The 21,929-nt window shown below is 35.5% G+C and overlaps 1 protein-coding gene across 17 annotated transcripts in view; it reads right to left on the minus strand.

Annotated features, from left to right (window-relative positions):
* EYA1 (EYA transcriptional coactivator and phosphatase 1) overlaps positions 1-21,929 on the minus strand; it is a 350,662-nt gene that overhangs the window by 165,126 nt on the left and 163,607 nt on the right. The window lies entirely within an intron of this gene.

Genomic DNA, 21,929 nt, shown 5'->3' on the forward strand with positions numbered 1-21,929 from the left:
GAATGGCCATTTCCCTTTAAGTAGAAAATGAAAAAGCAAACGTGCAAGCTTTTATCAGTTTAATAATGAAAGCCTGAAGGATGAATCCGAAATGATTTCTAGAATGGCAAATCTTCTGTGAACAATTCCTTGGCTATGAACCAGATAATGTTTCAGTGTTAATATTTTTAAATGGTTTTTGGAAAAGATTCATGTTATCTAGAACTCTTTCTTTACAGCTTATTCTTTTAAAAAAAAATTCTTACTGACCTCGGAATCTATGCATGACAGTCTATAACACTCACCTAAAGAGCTGAGCTTCAGTTAAGATATGTTTTATACAGATACATGACTTTGGTGATAAGACTTAACCATTATGTTGATTTCAAATATTCAAAGAAGGCATCGTTTATGTGACTAATGATTGTATCTCAATTTGCCAGACCTGTGCCAACATTCAAATACAAATGTTTATTTTGATACTAGTCACTCGTTGTAACCAATTTTGTGCTCTAAAATAAAATCTTTAAGCCCATCGGATTTTTCTTAAAACTGTTTTGTCATCACCCATAGAATACTATTCTGCTGATTAGGTCTTTTATTTAAGGAAAAAAAAAGCGTCCTCATTTTTTAGGCGCTTGATAGATGTGAAAAAAATTTTAAAAATCACAATAACTTTTTGCATGACTTTATAATACATTTCCAGATCGTCAACTAATAAAACACATAGACACAATCATAACTTTATATTGCTAATATGTAAATGAAAGCACCATTCCGATGCAAACAAAAAATAAAAAGCTGCTAATGACCAAAATTTATTACAGACTTCCCCCCAACCACCGAAAGTATGCCAATCTGAATTCCTCAGAAAAGAACACTTTGTCAAACATAAACGACAGTTTAAACTGCAAACTCACCTAGGATTTCATTTTGTATAGTACCAGCAAGGAATCATGGGCTAGTCATCTACCATATTTGGGAAGCCAGGTCAAAACACAGTTGATTGCTATTGGATCTGTTCATATATGCAGCAGAAATAGAATTATGTTACCACCTACTGCACTTTCTCAGACCAGAAGTATCAGTTATTCAATATACTAAAGTATATATGCAGAAAATAAAATACAGCTTGTAATGGAGATTTCTAGCATTGTCAGATAAAATGTAATGTTGTGGTAATTCAATCTGATATCAAACAGTAAATACTTTTGCAACCACATTTATTTCTAAGCTCTATAAAATCTAAAATTTGAGATGTTGGAGAATTAAACAATGCTTGAAATTTTACATTTAGCTATTGTATTCATGCTTCCAATTGTTTAACAATTATTTTAGACATAAGAGAGTAAGAAATTATTTTTCTAATCCATGAAAGATTATATTGACAAATCCAGAATATATGAACTATATAAAATCAAAACAGTGGGAATATTATGTAAAGTATGTCACATTTATATACAAGTTACTTGCCCACATTATAGTTAAATGTATCATATTACATATTTTATGTTGAAATTTAATTTTTATTTATATAACCAAATGAAATATTAAATAAATGATGCATATAATTATGAAGAAAATTAGTAAAATCATGATGAATGTAATGTGACCACTAATTGATATGGTATAGCTCATGCTTCATAATTATGTAACAAAGAGCTTAGTCACTGACTAAAAGTAATATCCATGTGCATATTTACTACTTTTAAAGAGTTTCATTTTCCTGAAGCAAAATTAGATGGATTAAAAACAATCACGTTTACCCATAAATTGTGTATGGTTACTACTTTTGAATATCCAATATGTAATAATTACTATTGCATACAATTTAAACCAAAAGTAAGTTACCCTATGATAAAGAGCCACATTTAAGCTATTAACAACACCTAGTTTATAGTGTATTTATTGATAGCCTCTTATTTCTAAATCTTCACCAACTATAACTATAGTATGTAACGTAACCATATACTTTAAGGACTAAATTGTTCCCTAAATACAGTCATACATATAACTACAAAATTTAGGGAAATTTGTTGAACATTGCTACTAGTAAAAGGTGATAGAAGAAATCATTGCTATTTCATATTTGCCATGTAAATCTCAATACATAAATGTATGGAAAGGAATTTTAAAATTTTCCAATATGCTTTTTCCTCAATAAAAAATACATAATTTTATCTGGAAAGGGAAAATACTTGAAATATTCAACTGATATGAAATGTTTGAAAACCCTCAAGGAGACAGTTGATCTTTCATATGCTGTATCACCAAACAGGTTTTATGTGACAGAGCCAGCTGTTGCCTAGATACCTGCCTGGTTATATGAAGGAAGTCTTCAATTTTGGTAGAAGAGTTTAGTGTTTTAGGTTAAGGGCATGATCAAAAAAAAAGCAAATGTCATATATATATATATATATATATATATATATATATATATATATATATACATATACACACACACACACGGTATTTACATTACATTTGTAATATTCAATACATATTACAAATGTCATGTATATATATGTGAGAGAGAGAGACAAGGACAGATACAAGAAACTCATTACAACAATCTAAAAGGTAACTTGGGCTTTTCTAAAACTTCATGAGTTAACAGTTGATTAATCAAATTAAGTATAACAAATAAACACGAGAAAACAAAGGATAAAATACAGGTGTCCCTTTCCCTTTTAATTCCAATAATGAAAATAAAATTATTTTACAGTTGTGAAGTTGTCAATAAATGATGCACTTTGAAGTTATTTTTCTTCTATTTGTGTTTACTTTGAAATAACGTTAGAAGCATGCATGCTATTACCTGGTCCAAAAGTTTACTAATCTCTTTGTTTCTATGCTTCTTATGAGATGATTATTTTTCAAAAATAACAGTATAGTAAGTTGCAAAATATAATCAGCACTTAAAGACTAATGCATTTTCTTAAAAAAGCGAAATCCCACTCATTATTTCTTCCACATGATTAAAATCAATATGTGGAAGTATTCAACATTTTGTAATTTAAACTGTTCAAAGTAGAATGGCAAATAGAGTATTCCAAAATACTATACTTCCAGTCTTCCTGGTTTCACATAAATTTATTTTTCTTATGGTCCATGCCATGGCACTACCTCCCTGGCTTCTTTATGGAGCCTTTGGAACCGTGTCTGGATGGCTGACACTATGATCCTTGTTGGCATTCTGAATGGTCACTTCCATGACCTGCTCTTTCCCCACCAGCATGAGACCTACAATGAGGGTCCTGCTCCCAGGAGCCTTCTGCTGAAATGCAACCAAGTAAAACATCCTCTATTTATTTTAAGAATGATATTATATCTGCCAAACTGAATGTCTACCAATATTTTGTGAAATGTTTTCCATTCAAACTCCAACATGATTAGCTTTTAACAGTAAAGCTAAGGAGGTAATTAACTATTAGCTGTACCATGGAAAATTATTTTAATACATATTACAGTCTTTATATCAACACAATATGAAAATAGAACCTATTTCCTGACTTCCTAAAGAGCACGTTGATTATTATATATTAATAATAACATTTATTTATGTAGGGTGTGAAACTTGTTATCCTATGTAGTAATGGCTGCCTATCAGATTTTTTTTTAAATTATTATTCTTAATAGAAACTTTAAGCAGCACTTCTTGAAACTAATAGTGATAGCAAGGGCAGTGGCAGATTTTTAAGAAAGGGGGATGAGATAATGCAGGTGCTTAAAAAAATGATAAAACAGATTTCCTATTTTAAAATCAACTGATTTTCCAAAATGGCAAACCATTACTTTTTCTTCCTCCTGCCAAAAAGTATATAAATAATTGGTCCTGGAAGCATATGTTTAATCTCAGCGATAAGTTATTTTGCTTTCTCGCGCTGTGAAATGGGTTTCTGTTGACATGAAGCAACCTAGAAAACCCAGGTTGTTTCTTCGCCAAGATTTTTCCCTCTAAGCCATGGGCAAAACCAATCTTGTCAGCACCTCCCAAAACATGTAAGAGGATCTGGAAATTTGCTTTGTGTTTTTCAGGTTTCATGACAGCTGAGTTCACAGTTTTTAAATTCTTCGGAAACAATGAATAGCTCATGGAGGAAAGAAGGGAATTAGCATTTATGAAGTGCTTACTACATGCCAGGCACTGTGCTAGGCATTTTATATTTTTATGAATCCTGATTTTTTTAAATATGAGTGATTTTTTCCCTCACTATTGGTTCTGGAACCTGCCTCATTTTTCTAGCACCATCAAAGTCACTTCTAAACAGTAGATGGAGCAATGGGACATTAATGTCTCCTCATTGTATCATCATTTTGACGCAAGGTGATAGCCCATAAAGTTAATAAAAATCCAGAAAAGTGTGTGATATTTGAAATGATACATATTGATATATAGCAAAATAATATATTCAATATGGAAGAGAAAAAATCACTATATAGTAGCTGATTATTTCTGAAAACATATTGCAAGTTACTTTAAGGATGCAAAAATAAAAGTACATTAAATGGTCAATAGAGAAAAAATCCTTGAACTTGAAGTGGTCAAATCAGGAGATGTGGGTTTTTTCTCCTTACATATTCAAAAAGGTTAATTATTTTCCTAGAGATTATAAATATTCCCAACTTATTATTTATATTAAAAAGGAAAAGCAAAGAGTCTGAGTTTACAATAAGCAATTATATGCATGTCTTGTTTCATAGTTATATCAATTTCTTACATTTTACCTTTCTTAATTTCAGTTACCCAGTATGATATGCTTTAGTTTTAATAGTTATTATATCATAAACACTTGATTTATTCACTGAGGAAATAATTATATTAAAAGTGCACTTCACATTTCCTGATGCATTTGGATGTATGGTTTAAGTATTCAGAATCAAGAAGCTCTATTATTACTACAAAGGAATTGCCAGAGACTGGGGAAAGGGAACCCCCAAACCTAATAACCTATAGAATTTTTTTCTTCCTTCAAGCAGTATTAATTTTTTCTTCCTCCAGTCTCCCAAATCGGAAAAAAAAAAAAAAAAAGAGTAACCTCTAAAGCTGTTTTAGACAGAAGGTCAGAATTCAAAGGATCAGTAACTTAATCCACAGTGCACTGCAATCGCATTGCTATTGGAAAAACAACCAGAAGCACCATTATTCTAGAAGTTTTTATTAAGCAATGTCAATAGGTATACAACCTGGAGGTTTCTCTCTACTGTAAGGTTTATCTAGATTCATGCTTGCAAGCGATCAAATTGCCTTGGGTCCTTGGATTTTACTTTAGTATACTATGGTGTGAGGGTTAAAAAGTAGACTTTATGTGACATACTAAGGAAAACAATAGCTTCAGTTTGTTCAAATACTTAAAACAGAATTCCTTTCTGCAACCCAAATGTAAGTACAATTAAACATTTTGTGGTCTTTAGATACTCCTAATTAAGAGGAATGCTTGTTTTAGATGGTTTAATATTTGGGGTATTATACTGAATGTTGAAATGTGTGATTCATGTTCTTTCAAAAGATATAAACCTGAAAAGTATCCTCTGCCTCTTTCAGGGATTCTGTTTTAATAGTATCAATGATCTGGTTTACCTGAAATACAGAGTAAAGCAAAGCCAAAGATCTGGGATTTTTGAGTTAGTATGTTTTAAATGTGGAAGATTCTTAAAAACAACACCCTGGTTGATAGAGAGTTACAGGCTGGTGGCTTGTTTTTTTAATCAATACAAGGAGAAACAAATAGTTTACCAAGAGGTCAGAGCGCCCGTAGAGGAGCCCTCTGCTGCACGATTATCATTGACAACCCCTGCTGAAAGATCCGCAAAGCCCCCATTAGCTTTGGCCTCTCGGGATTGCTGTTCACTTTCCTTCCTGTCTTTCCCTGAGAGGAGGATCTTCCCTGCTTGTAGAGAGTGGATGCAGGGGAGTGGGTAAGCAGAAGGTGAAGGAGGGACAGGACAAAAACAAAAGCAAAAAAAAAGAAAGAATTTGTTATTCAAAACAATGATCCAAAAACCTGCCTAAGAATCCCAGCCTTTTTAAAAGAATGACAGCCTATGACTTAAAAATTCTAAAGGAAAAAGACAATGATTTTAGATATGCAGACTTTATGCATTTTAAATTTGCAGTATCGTCACAGTATACCTCTTTTGGGAGAAAATTGTATTTGATAAACCTAAAAATGGACACAAATACGGATGACCTAACTCACCACAAATAAATGTATTCATGATTAATTATTGAAGACTATCAAACAGGAGGGACCACACCTTTAACCTCTGTATTTAGAATTTTCCAAAATTATGCCTATTATCAACCCACGAATGACTTATACGTGAAAAGGAAAAAAAATTAGACATTTCACATTAAGATCTTCTTAAGGCCGGGCGCGGTGGCTCACCCCTGTAATCCCAGCACTTTGGGAGGTCGAGGCAGGTGGATCACAAGGTCAGGAGTTCGAGACCAGCCTGACCAACATTGTGAAACTCTGTCTCTACTAAAAATACAAAAAAAAAAAAAAAAAAAAAATAGCTGGACGTGGTGGCATGCACCTGTAATCCCAGCTACTCAGGAGGCTGAGGCAGGAGAATTGCTTCAACCTGGGAGGCGGAGGTTGCAGTGAGCCCAGATCACATCACTGCTCTCCAGCCTGGGCAACAGAGCGAGACTCCGTCTCAAAAAAAAAAAAAAAAAAAAACTTCTTAAAGCAGTATATGGCAACACTGATTTCCTATTTCATTTTTGTATATTCTTGGATTTCATGTCTATCATTATTCAAGGTTGAAATGCTATTCTTTTCCTTAAGTGTGTAGAATTATTAACATCTCTCTATAGGCAAGGGTACTACTCACCAGATTAAAACAAATGCACCAGAGATTCAAGTGAATTCTAATTCTGGTTTCAACACGGGCTTTCTCTATGTCTTCTGTTGTCACAGTACTTATTCTCTCAATTTATAATTTATAACTAGCTAGCTATAAAATGGATGCAGTGGTACACACCTTACCAAATTGGTATGTGGATGAAAATGTTTACTGCTATGGTAAAGCTCCCATGGAGAAAAAAATAGCAACAGAAAAGTTAATTTCAAATCAATTTAATTAAATGAGTGTGGAATGAGTGCTCAAACAGGGCATAGTTTCCAGGGTTTAGCACATAGGAGGTGCTTGGTGAATGTTATTAAATTAATTAATACATGCACACAAGGCTACTTGAGGGAACATGGCCCTGGTTTGTGAAAGAAAAATGATTTCCTTGAATTTCCTTTGCTTTCATTTTCTTTTTTCTTACAGATTGTTATATTTTCCTTCCATTGAAAACTTTAAAGCTGGACTGGCTAGGGCATTATCATTATAGGAACATTAATTTTATTTTATGTACAAAAATATTTAAAATAATTTATGGGACAAAATTGAGTCCTTAAAAACTGTGCTAGGAATTTGCCATCCTGACAACAGGGAACAACCAAACTCCAAGGAAATTAAAGAATTAGAACAATTCAGTTTTAGGTTAAAAAAAAAGCCACCATATACCACATTCTAGCTATGTCATATTCTTCCCTAAGTATACTGTTATCTTAATACTGGTTCATATTTCCCTTTTAAATTCCTAACCAAAATAAACAGAAAAATTAATTTAAAAATTTAAAACAGTACTCAATAGGATGAAAGTATATTTAAAGAAACCCTACACGTCCTGCCTTTCAGAAATAGTTCATTGTAGGTGTGTCCACAACACCATCATTTTCAAATTTTGCACCTTTTAGGTGGTTCAGAAATCTAACCAACAAAAGTTAGTTAGCTGGTCTATCGGCCAGTAATCAGTCACTCAACAAATATTTATCATGTATCTAGTATGTGCCAGGTACTATGGGCATAGATGAAAAAGTAAACAAGGCAGACAGAATTCCCACACTTAAGGAAATTATGTGTCCATAGAAGTGTAAATAAATGAAAAGGTGGCTGACTGAACACATGCATTTATTTTTGCTTTCTCTAGAAATCCCCTAGAGCACCAGTAAAGGGATTTTTTTAAGGCACAAATCCCCAAGAATGAAGAAAAGCAGGTAATAGGAAAACAGCAACACATTTTAATTAATTACTTAGTTAATTTAGAGGCAGGGTCTCACTCTGTCACCTAGGCTGGGATGCAGTGATGCAATCATGGCTCCCTGCATCCTTGACTTGGCAGGCTCAACCAATCCTCCTGCCTCAGCTTCTGAGTAGCTGAGACTACAGGCACTTACCACCATGCCTAGCTATTTTTTTTTTTTATTTTACGTACAGACGAGGTCTCACTCTGTTGCCCAGGCAAGTCTCAAACTCCTGAGCTCAAGCGATGCTCCCACCTTGGCCTCCCAAAGTGCTGGGATTATAGGCATGAGCCACTACACCCAGCCTTAACAAATTTTAAAAGTGGGGGAAAAAGTCTAAACCATGCAGACCATTAGTAACTCACTTAGCAGATATGAGAAAGCTGAATCCTAAGTTGGCAGTAAGGAAAGCTGAAAAGCAATCAAAGTTACACCACCCAACTCCTCCCATCCCCAACATTTTAGCAATTGATGATACTAGGTACTTCTGCAAGTGGAAGTAGAAGTAAGGCTACCATAGGAGGATTGGGTACAAGTCAGTATAAGATGCAGTAAGACCCTTTTCTCCACTCTACATAGTCAGTAAAATAAGTAGACTATGGATTGTAGGAGAAGCCCTGGGGTGTGCTGAAGAAGCATGCACCATTTTGATAACAGGCAGATTATAAAACACTCACGCTAAATGCTGGGATAACTGCCCCTGCTCTCTTCCTCCATAACTTTTCCTCATTAGGGTTCCCAGAACACTGTTAGCCAGTGATCATCCAGGAAGGAGCCTACATTGATTTCACTAAGTATTCAGACCAGCCCCAAAGGAAAGATCTAAATCACTTATACCTGGGGACCTCCTAAGGCGAGAACTCAATCTGATCACTCTAAAGTAAAAATCAAGGGCAACAAGTCATTTAACTAAAGTAAAAACCATGGGCAACAAGTCATTAACAAAGTTAATGCCCTACTGTTAAATATAAGCCAACAATTAAGAATTATGAAGAGTCTGAGGAAAGCTTCTCGAGAAATGTAGAAACCAAATGAAAAGCAAAGCAACTTGCAGGAAACAGAGATCAAACAAAAGCAAATGCCAGGAAAACAAAAATAAACTCCCATTAATATGAACAGAGAAATAAGAGAAGATACTGAAGCCATGAAACAAGATAAGAAAACAATAATTATTTTTTTCTTTTAAAGGAACATCTAACAACAAAAAGGAGCCCTTGGAAATAAAAAGTAAGATCACAGGAAAATAAAACTCAATACGGGTTGAAAAATAAAACTGTTGAAATCTCCAAGAGAAGAGAGCAAGAAGAGATGGAAAATAGAGAAGTATAGAAAATATAAGAAAATGAGAAGTTATAGTTCTGGTTTTCCAACACCCAGATAACTAGAGTTTCAGCAAGAGAGGAAGGACAATAAAGCCTAAAATTTAGACCAATAATTCTAAGATATTTCCTAGGGCATGAGTTTTCGGATTGAAAGAGCTCAATGATTACCCAACAAAAAGAGTAAAAACAACTCACATCAATGGATATTATTCGGAAATTTCAGAATACGAAAAAGATGGCCCCTACAAACTTCTAGAGAGAAAAAACAGCCCACATACAAAGCCTAGGTCATGACTTCAGACTTCTCAATTAGAACATGTATTTCTAGAAAGTAGTAAAGCAATGGCCTCAAATTCCTAGATGACAAATAATTCCTAGCCTAGAATTTTATAACCTACTATACTTTGTAAGTAGGAAAATTAAATATTTAAATTAAATTTAAAACATTTTCAGACAAGTAAATTATCAAAAAGTTAACTTCCCAATCAGGTTAATTTCCCAATCCTTTCTCAGGTAGCTAACAGAGGGTGTGTTCCATTAAATTTAGGAAGCAAACCTCCTTTACAAACTAGACAATCCAAATAGGAGAAAGATGAATATAATTTCTGGTTCTTATGGAAAAGGAAATTCTAGAATGATAGCTATACCCTAGGCATGACAGTCCAGATTGGAGAAGGTCAGAAGGCTCCAGGAACACTTTCATGAAGATGAGGGAATTGATACAATAACAGATACATCTGAATATATGCAAAGGAGAGGTAAACAAATAGGGGAGAGCACAGAATTGAATTATTAAAAGGAATCATCAACTTAATTCAACAATACATCAAAAACATTATACACCATGACCAAGTGGGGGTTATCTCTAGGATTCAAGGTTGGTTTAACATTCCAAATCAATCAATATGATACACCACATTAACAGAATGACATTTCAAAAGCACTGATCACCTCAACAGGTGCAAGAATGACATTTAACAAAGTTCAACATTCTTTCATGGTAAAAACTCTCAATGAAATAGGTGTAGAAGGAAATTTCCTTGACATAATAAAGGCCATTTATAAAAGGTCTACAGCTAACATCATAATCGATGAAGGAAACCTAAAGGCTTTTCCTCTAAGATCTGGTACAAAGCAAGGATCCCCATTCTCACCATACCACCTCTGTTCAAAATAGTACTTGAAGTATTCACAAGAGCAGTCAGAGAAGAAAGAGAAATAGAGGGTATCAAACTTGGAAAGGAAAAAGTAAAAAGTATTTCTGTTTGCTGGTGATATGATGCTATATGTAGAAAACCCCTTAAAGGTTCCACAAAAAATGTTAGAACTAATCAATTAATTCAGTAAAGTGGTAAGATACAAAATCAACATGTAAATATCAGCTGCATTTTTATGCTAATAATAATCTATTTGAAAAAGAAATCAAGAAAGCAATTTCATTTACAATAGCATCAAAAAGAATGAAATGCTTAGAAACAAATTTAACTAAGGAAGTAAAAGATCCGTACATTGAAAATTATATGAAACATTGATGAAAGAAATTAAGAAGACACAAATAAATGAAAAGGTATCTTGTGTTTGTGGATTGGAGGAATTAACATTGTTAAAATGTCAGTACTACTCAAAGCAACCTACAGATTCAATGTGATTCCTGTCAAAATTGTAATGGCATTTTCTCCAGAAATAGTAAAAAACAATTCTAAAATTTATATAGAACCATAAAAGTCTCCAAATAGCCAAAACAATTTTGAGAAAGAAAATCAAAGTTGGAGGCATCACACGTCCTGATTTCAAACTGTATTACAAAGTTATAATAATCAAAAGAGCATGGTACTGGCCTGAAAACAGACACATACACCAATGGAACAGGATAAAGAGTCCAGAAATAAACCCAAGCATATGTGGTCAAATAATTTTCAACAAGACCACCAATAAGACCAATAAGGAAAGGATAGTCTCTTCAATAAATGGTGCTGGGAAAGCTGGATATCCATATGCAAAAGAACAAAACTGAACTCTTATCTTAGACCAGACACAAAAGCAACTCCAAATGGATTAAAGATCTAAATGTAAGACTTGATACCATACAACTCTTAGAAGAAAACAGGGGAAAAACTCCTTGACTTTGGTCTTGGTGATGATTTTTTTGGAACGGACAAAAAAGGCAAAGGCAATAAAAGCAAAAATAAACAAGTGGGACTACATTAAACTAAAGGCTCCGCACAGCAGATAAAACAATCAATAAAATGAAAAGGCAGCCTATGGATTGGGAGAAAATATTTACAAACCATATATCTGATAATTGGTTAATATCCAAAATATAAGGAGTTCACATAACTCAATAGGAAAATAACAAAGAACCCAATCAAATAATGGGCAGAGGACCTAAATAGACATTTTTCTAAAACAGACATACAAATGGCCAACATGTATATAAAAAGATAATCAACATCACTAATCATCGGGGAAATGCAAATCAAAACCACCATGAGATATCACCTTACACCTGTTAGGACGTCCGTTACCAAAAAGTCAGGAAATAAGAAGTGTCGATGAACGTGTGGAGAAAAGGAAACCTTTGCAGGCCATTGATGAGAATGTAATTGGTACAGCTATTATGGAAAACAGTGTGAAAGTTCCTCAGAAAATTAAAAATAGGACTGCCATACAAATAGAATTGTCGTATGACTTAGCAATCCCTTTGCTGGGTATACAACCAAATAAAATGAAATGAAATTACCACCTTGTAGAGATATCTGCACTCCCATGTTCATTGCAGCTTTATTCACAATAGCCAAGCCATAGAAACAACTTCAGTGTCCACTGACAGATAATGAATAAAGAAACTGTGGTATATATACACAATGGAATATAATTCAGCCTTAAAAAAAGTAATCCTGTTATTTTCAACAACTTTGAGGAAATTATACTAAGTGAAATAAGCCAGACACAGAAAGATAACTACTGCATGATCTTATTTATATATGGAATATTTTCTTTAAAAGTCAAATACATAGAAAGAGTATAATGTGGTTACCAGGGGCAAGGGAGGGGAGGAAACAGGGAGATGTAGGTGAAAAGTGTAGGTGAAAGCTTGTAATTCTATAGGATGAACAAGTCTAGACATCTAGTGTATAACTTGAATACTAAAGTTAATTATACCGCATTGTATACTGAAAATTTGCAGAGTACATTTTAGATACTCTACTACAAAACAAACAAAAAGTAACTACAGAAGATGATGAATAGGTTAATTTGTTTGACTACAGCAATAATTTCACTATATATGTGCATATCAAAATATCATATTGTACATCTTAAATATATATATATAATTTTTTAAAATGGGAATACTACCTCATGCTAGAAGAGCTTACATATAGGTGGAGTAATATAAATGCCAAACATTGATCCAACAAAAATCAGGATCAACAAAAAATCAACAAAAATCCTGGAAGAATGGCAGGACTGGCAGTATTTGTGTGTGAATGTGTTGGGGGTGGGAGTGAGATGAAAGAAACAAATCCTCAAGGAAACAATTCCATGGTGACAAGTCAACAAATAACATCTAAAACATGAAAGATCAATAAAGAACAGCATAACAAAAATTCAGCTGAAAAGTGAGGAGCGTTTTTCTCTGGGTAGGGGAAAGCAAGATGAGAGGAAGACAGGAGTCTCCCCTCTACATAACTTTTTTTTCTTTTTGAGACAGAGTTTTGTTCTTGTCGTCCAGGCTGGACTATAGTGGCGTGATCTCGGCTCACTGCAACTTCTGCCTCCTGGGTTCAAGCGATTCTCCTGGCTCAGCCTCCCAAGTACCAGGGGTTACAGACGCCTGCCACCATGCCCAGATAATTTTTGTATTTTTAGTAGAGACAGGGTTTCACCATCTTGGCCAGGCTGGTCTCGAACTCCTGACCTCAGGTGATCCACCTGCCTCTGCCTCCCATCGTGCTGGGATTACAGGTGTGAGCCACCACACCTGGACAACAATTTTTATAGAACTGAGTTTTAAATTATGCACATATAATTTTGATTAAAATGAAAATATAAAAGTAGACAGTTTTCTGCTCCTATGTATGGTGCATGTGTATAAATTATTGACAAATAGTTAAAAATCAAATGCAGGTAAAATTTGGCAGACAGGGCTGTGTACGAAGCAGTGAGTGCTATTATAGTTAGCCAAAGAGGGCCCCTTGAAGGGGGTGTCATTTGAGTTAAGACGTAAACAATGAAAAGGTAATATACTTGTAAAAACTGGGGTGAGGAGGGAGTGGTCTACACAAAAGGAACAGCAAGTTCAAAGGGAGAAAGCTTAGCAAGTAGGAGGGAAGAAAGAAATGCGGATAAAAGTGAACAAGAAAGAAAGAACAGGGCCAGGGCTGGGTGTAGGGCATGGGACATTGCTGGCCAGATAAAGAGTGGGATTTTATTCTGGTTGTAATGAGATGTTACTAAAGGTGGCTTTTGTTTGTTTGCTTTCTTTAGTTTTTGAGCACAAAAGTGACATGATCTGATTTATGTGTAAGGAAGGCCGCTGTGTGGAGGATGAACTATAGGAGAGCAAAATAGAGGCAGGAAGGCAAATTAGAGGGTTATTGTAGTAGTCCAGGTGAAAGGAGTGTAATCTGACCAGGGTTTTCTCTGGGCAACTGATGATATGTGGTCAGATTTAGGGTATATTTGGAATTAGAGTCAATAGGAGTTGTAAATTGAATGTGGGTTTCAGGCAAAGAAAGAAACTAAGGATGACTGCAGTCTCTCCGCGTAAACAAGAAACACCAGTGATTTGACTGTCATCTCCATTCTTCTTTCTGCTTTCTTGCTCATACAAGAACATGACATAAATCCAAAAAGCCGGAACAATCAAAATCTGAACATTAACTGCAAGTTAACTAGTTTTCATCACTATCTTGTCAAACTAGCCGAAGCTCCCGCTGCCCTGCCCAGGCTCCCTCCGCAGAAGCCTCCGTTCTGTCATTTCCGTATGCTATGCTCACTCTTGTCTCTGTGTATATGCTCACATGTCTCCGTACTCACCAGCCTGATATAAACATCCTTATCTCTCTTGTCTACTTAATCAACCTCTTACCCATCACTGTCTTCTGTCTTATTATGGTAGATTGTTACTTTGGTGACCCCCAATGAACCATACCTCCTCAAATTCTGGGTTTGGCAAATAAGACATTAACAAGGAGGAAGCAAGCAGATACTAAATGGTGCATGCATACTGGAGGTTTTCTTCCAGGAACAGACATTTTAGATCCAGGCACCATGAAAGAAGCCCAAGCTATCTATGTGGTGGAAGAGAAGTCGCAGCCTACCAGCCATCCCACCAAGGTACCAGATATGAAAGTGAAGCCATATTGGACATTCTAGCCCCAGCCACCATTTGACAGAAATTGGGAGAGACCCCAAGCAATACCAGCAGAAGGGCCATCCATCTGGGCTCAGCCAATCCACAGAATCATGAACAAATAAAATGGTGGGGTGTAATGTAGCGGTACCTAATAAAAATATCCATCATTACATTGAAGTCACTCTTGCAAATGATTCCAATCGCAAGGATATTATCAAAACCAATGGACACATTTCTGCCTTTATCTTAATTGTCTTAATTACAGCATTTTTATTGTGATAAAATGTATATAACATAAAATTTACCATTTTACACATTTTTAAGCATGCAGCTCTGTGTCATGAAATACACTCACATTGTTGTGCATCACCATCATTCATCCACATAATTTTTTCATCTTCTCAAACTTAAACTTTGTACCCATTAAATACTACCTCCCAATTTCTGCCTCTACCCAGCCCCTGGTAACTACCATTCTACTTTCTGTCTTTGTGAATTTGACTTTGCTAGGTACCTCACATCAATGGAATCATGTTATAAGTGTAGCATTGTAGTATCATCTTAACTGTTTCATCTGACATTGCTGTACATTCCCTCTTTGAAATGTTCTCCCTGTAAGGTCTTGTCACAAAACCACCTTTTGCCTCATTTTTTTATTCTTCCATCTTGGTCTCTTTTTAGGGTTGTTCTTGACCTACTGACTCAGCTTCCTCTGAAACACCAGGCTCTCTCCAACATCTTCTCCCATGTGATCTCATTCCCATACATGCTTCAATAACCACAGAGATGCAAGTGGTAACCAAAGCCCCATCTCTAATATAACAAAGCTAAATTTTAAAATTTGAACTATACCCTGATGTATTTTCTTTTCTCAGCAATTATGATCCATCCCCCCTCCCACCCCCAGTCTTCCTGCCATTAAGATTAGGCTTGCAGGGAGGCTAAGGAAGATATTAATAGAAGATATGATGTAAGGGAAGACCCTTTAAGATAAGAAGGGGAAGAGAAGTACCTTCTAGTTGTAGGCACTGATTGCTAGAAATGGAAACTCATGCACTGTTTAAGGCGGGGTAGGCTTAAGAAGTGGTAACCATAAGAATGGTGACCAAGCCTAAATCATGAATTCAGGTTTGAACCTCTTTAGAATGTAGAATATATAAACCAAAATTAAACTGTCAGTAATAAAAAACCAGTAATCTTGCCTAGTATGAGGTGATATTTTCTTGGGATCTGATCAGATTGTGATAACCCCAGGAATATACAGTAACAAGGTTTTAAAAAATAAGGAAGTATATATGGGTTATACTTCACAATAACATGTAAGATGTAAAGAAATGAAGACACCAGAAAACTTTATTATTTATAATTTAAGGTTTGAAGATATGTGAGGTAATATATTTTATAATCATTGGATTGCCTTGTATATTCTTGGTCAACCTTTTAGGATATTCGAAACCTTTACTACATCCTAAAGTCATAGACATAATCACAATTTCAAATGGCTAAAAAAATTTGGTTAAGTGATGCTAATGTTTAAAGAAGACTCAATCCATTAAACTTATGTGTTAAATAAAATACTTAAAGAAGTGAATGAAATTTTTATTTTGTAAAAAATAACCAGATGTAGAAGTAAAATAAATTCTGTAAATTGACTTTTAGCTTCGGAATGAACATGTGTTTATCAAAGCACAAGTGAATGGGGGAATTCCTTTCTATACGTAAAAGGCCTCCTCAAGCATGAAAATCTCACCTACTACAGTAGAGAGAAGAATGCCTAGGTCTTCAGTGGGTACATGAAAGTGCAGAGAAACCTGACAAACTAAGTGGAGGCTCTATGTGAGGATGAGGAGGCCACAAATGGATCACTCGAGCCTCGAGGCTACCGTGCAGACCAAGGACCTGAACAGTAGGGTCCACTATGATGCTGGACAAGACCATAGAGGACCAGCCACACCTGTACATACTCCTACCCAGGTTTCATAGTGATTTAGCTGGATGAATACATCTCTACAGGGGCCACAGAGAACACCCAGCACAGCACAGGCACTAAGGCCAGGATGATACACTCATGAGCCCCTGGGGACTTCAATTACCCCAGGGAGAGGGATGAGCAAAGGTACACTGGAGAAGTCAGAACCATCAGGACTGAAATCCTGAAAGGACCACCTGTGTGCCTGAAGAGATTATATTTCTTGAAATAGGCATATTTGAGGGGTTTTGTTGTTGTTAGTTTTTGTTTTGCTACAGTGTGCCTGGAAGCAAGAAGAAATAGGATGTGAAAAATAAAGTTACCCTCATTTCACACCTGAATTGTACATGAATTGTGATAGCAATATTTTAACAGACAACTTCTTCTGTGCCCAAAACTCAATCTGCCCTCAACACTGTACCCACACTACCAGACCGTCTTTATAAATGTCAAGCTCATCATATCTCTCACTTTAAACTCCTTCATAGATTTTAGGTGAAGTTCAAAATCCTCAATTTATCCAGTGTACAGAGCACCCTTGGCATAAGCAACTCCATCTTAGAAAAATTCCTTCTCACATTTCAAAAAGCATCATGCTAACAGGAGCCAGATGTTGGCCTAATCAATAGAGACTGCTCCCAACCAGATAGGGATGTATCAGTCCTCACTCTATAAAAAGAGCAGGATTTCATCATCTTGAGATGGCTGTCTTGACACACACTGTCCTGCTGTCACTCAGGATCAGCACCCGGCACCTGCCGCTGAAGGTTCTGCCCAAATCACAGACTCTTCTTGCACGATGTTGACATCCCTCAGGATCAGTCCAGTATATTCTCCTTGCCCACTTCTCTCTCCTTGGATTGGTTCAATAGCCTCTTTTTTCTGTCCCCTTTCCTCTTGATGTTAAATGTCACTTTTTTGTGGAACATGTGATCTATAACATTTATGTATTAACTAAATATACTATTATGCATGGTTTGCAATATTGACTGACTTGTGGATTGGCTTGAACCTATGTGCCCACGGCTCTTGCTACCAGGTGAATGGGCAGTACTGAGGAGAATTGCCTCCTTGGGAACTCCACGTAGCTCATAGTTTTTATGACTGAAATAGCATCAATAGAAGTCTGATGTTGTGGGAAAACACAAATGTTCATGGACCTGGGTATGTCTGACTTTCCACCACGCATGCCATCTAGCATAAGCCCCCTTCTCCAGCCTGCAGCCCTGCCCCTGCGGCATGTCTATGCTTTCTTCTTCTAGTCATTCTGAGATGCTAGTAGTTCCTCAAACCTGATCTCCTCATTCATGCATTTGTGCTGCTCCCTGGCCTGGAATGTCCAGCCCCTACTGTCTTTCAAAGTTTAACTTAGCATTACCCTAGTAATCTCATAATCTCATCCCTGTTAGTGTAGCCAACTAGCTGTCCCATAGGCACTTCAAATGCAATCTATACCAAAGTAAACTTACATTCTTGTTCCTATAACCTGCTTCCTTATTTATCTATTTCACTGGGGGCACAACCAGTAATTCAAGCTGGAAACATACAGATTTTCTTTTCCTGTTTCTTCTCCACATCCAAATCCAAACCCAAGTCCAGCTGATGCCCCCTTTACCTCTCCTGTCCTCAACCTCTGAGGGCCTTGCCCACCTTGTGTTGCTGGCTCAGACTCCTCCCAGCAGGTCCCACTGCCACCAGTGTTCTCAATCCACACTGCAGCCTGCAGGTGGACTGCCATTCTGGCCATTTCACTGCAGGTCTTAAAACCCTTCAACAGTTCACAAGACCCCATTATCAAAGAAAATCAAAGATATCAAAGATTATCAAAGCTCGAATCCATAAAGCAGCTGGCCAGGCCCTCCACAGTCTAGATCTGGTCCCCTTTTTCACTCTGGCCTGGGGTCACACGTGGCCCTAAACTGCCAGTGGCACCAGGCCTGTGCTTCTCAAGCACCTTTACTTATGTTGTCCCTGCCATGTGTAACATCCTCGAGATATTTAGTTAGACACAAAATTAAAAAAGAAAATTAGGGCCATGGTAATACTTTCAGACAAATTTCGATGGGAACAAATGTGGAAGGAAAGAAGCTTCTTCTGCCCTGTCAGTCTCTGCATTAACCTCTCCCTCATTCACCCCCATCTATAAGCTGCTCTATGCCAAAAGGAGATGAAACGCCGGTGGAAGAAAAAGGAAAGAGGAGAATATAACCAGGGGTCAGGCTGAAGCCTCAGGCAAGGTACATGCAAACAATGGCCTAGGACAGACCAAATCCTGAAGATTTTGGCTTTTTGAAAGACAGGAAAAAACTGAAATGCATTTTTATCAGAGCTGGAAAAAAATATGTATTACACTCATCCTTACAGTATGAGCCAAAAAGTAAATAGCTCTACAGTTGTGAGTACCAATCATGCAGACACACGGAAGTGTGCCTAAAATTGCTTTGAAGAATCTTCCCCTCTTTCTTGTCCTCTTAGAGGGACTGCAAAGAAATGTCTACATCCCCCTCCCACCCCTACACACACTCAACTCCCTATCATACACAATCTGGTGTGCAGACACCCTTCAGTGTATCATTTGGGGATTTATTGGTATTTTAGTTAACAGGTTGATTCTAAGCCTTTACAACAATTAAAAAAAGCACTTTGTATACACACATGGGCACAGATCCAGAGTAATGTCTGTAATGCCTGAGGCACTTAAAAATTTGTTTTACATCAGGCTAAGCATGTTATGAATCTGCATTTTCATTATACATCACAACCATCCTTATTTTTACTAATGACATAAAAGATGAGAAGAAACAGAATGCTTATATTAAGGCTACCATCTGATCTTACATTTGTTAGAATAAAACTAGACATTTTAGTAGAACCGCAGATGAATTACATAATATTTATAAAGGGATCTTATAATAAAAATGAAGAAATTAAAACCAGATGAAAGTAGATAAAAGCTTTATTTTCATAATTAAAATTATGTTATACTGAATTGAAGTAGTACTTATAGTGGTAACAAATTACTATGTAGAATATTGAATTACTTTGCATTACAAATTGCTAAAATATACACCAATTTGTGACACAGAAAATATCTCAAAATTCGCTACTTTAACAGATATATGTACAATAAAAAGAGCAAATATCCTAATTATTCCAATGTCTAAAGGAATACAAAAGGTAAAGTATGAACATCACAGGCATATTAAATTTAATTTTATATTCACTTCACATATATTTCAGCACACAGTATTAGTTCATACTACAAGAATTTTTTAAAAATATTTTTAAAGTTGCAATTTGTCTCCTTAAAAGTATACATTAATAGGAAATAGATAAGTGATGTTATGGACAGGGCATTTTCTCATTGACTAGTAAAGGATATATACACTTATTTCTTAAATCATTGCACAAAGAAAACAAAATTATATTATGTATCTCTGTGAGTGCCTCATTACAGAATTCAATGATTTGGCAGTCTACACTTTCTAAATCTGTCAATCTCCTGCTTCAATCTGTGTGTTAAGTCATAGTATAACAGCTCACAGAAATCATATCGATTTCTAGGTCTCAAGAAGATTCTATAACGAATACATTTTGATTCTTAGTATTATAACAGTAGAAAATTGGCATCAGTCCACATTTTGGAAGAATGACATGACTAAATATATGTGGCATGTCAGACAGACATGAATACAAAATTGTGCTTTAAAAAATTCTAAGCCTACAATTTTTAAGAGTTTTATCTTTGGTTAAGCAACTTTTCTTCTGTGGAACAGTTACATTACTGTAATGTATCCTCAGTTACATTGTTTTCTAACAGCACCTATTTTTTTTTTGCATTACCAATTTATAAACTATGACCTCATTTATGAAAATACAAATTTACATGACATACCATTTTATTCCCAGCTAAACCAAAATTATAAACTCTGGCAATTCCAAATGTTGGCAAAGTTGGAGCAATGGGAATTCTTACACACTTCTGTTAGAGTGTAAAAAGGTATACTTTTGTTAAAAGTAAAGATACTAATATTTTTGCAGCCAGCAATTTCACTTCTAGATATATCCTCTAGAGAAACTCCTACACATGAGTGCAAAGGAAAATACACAAAACTATCCACCACAATACTGTTTCAAATGGTCAAAAAATTGTAATTAAAGGAGTTTTTTTAAAAATTAACAGCTTACATTTCCATTATCAACAGAGTCAATTTTAATATTGTGGTATATTTGCCATTCTATAGCATCAAAATGAATAAACTAAAGCTACATACATCAATATGAGAAATCTCTCTATATACAGATTTGAAGGAATAAAGCAAGTTTAAGGATGATACAGATAATAGGTTACTTTTTGCCTAAGTTTTAAAGCATGCAATAATATGTGTCACCTACAGATATAGATATGTAGTGAGAATATAAAGTCATAAGTGGGAATAATAAACACCAAATCTAGAACAGTAATCCTGTCTGGAGAAGTAAGGAGAGTAAGGAGAGTGAAAATGAAGAAGATGCACAATAGGATTTAACTTATTTAATGTTTTGTTCCTTGAAAAAAGAAAAGAAAAGATTTGGAGAATACAATACAAAAATGTTACATTTTACAATCTAGGTAGATGTATACATGGATTAATTATATTATTTCTAATTTTTATATTTTAAAACTATTTCAAATTTTAAAGAACAAAAATTTACAGTGAAGTAATATTCACCCTAATAAATGTTATTAGAACATTTGTTACTATCTTTACTTTTTTTTTTAAATTCATTGCATCTCAGAGAGAGCAACTACAATTTTAAGTGTCTTTCCATATTCATAATCTTCTCTAGATCTTTAAGAACTTGTCCAATTTCCTAACCTCACTAAGAGGTAAGTTTAGACCTCTGATGATACACTATCTGATAAGGTAATTGGTTGTTTTCATGTTGCTTACATTATCAGCCTTCATATATTTTAAATTGGTGTGTCTGTTTCCCATTTAAACATTTTTAAGAAGGTTATTTGAAGAGCTTAACCTCTCTGTGTACGTTTCTTCTTCTCAGAGCTTTGTGAGATCCACGGTAAGGTTGACTTACTCCCCCAGACTTCACTGGCTGTTCTCACTGAGACTTCTCATTCTTTAGGACTTATCTCAGATGGGGCCTGACCTGGGTTGCCTTCTCTGACCAGTGCAGGCCAGGCTGGGCCCTCCCCGAGAAGCCCTTTGTTTGTACAGTAC

Source organism: Homo sapiens, chromosome 8 (assembly GCF_000001405.40).
Source record: "Homo sapiens chromosome 8, GRCh38.p14 Primary Assembly".
NCBI classification, from domain to species: Eukaryota; Metazoa; Chordata; class Mammalia; order Primates; family Hominidae; genus Homo; species Homo sapiens.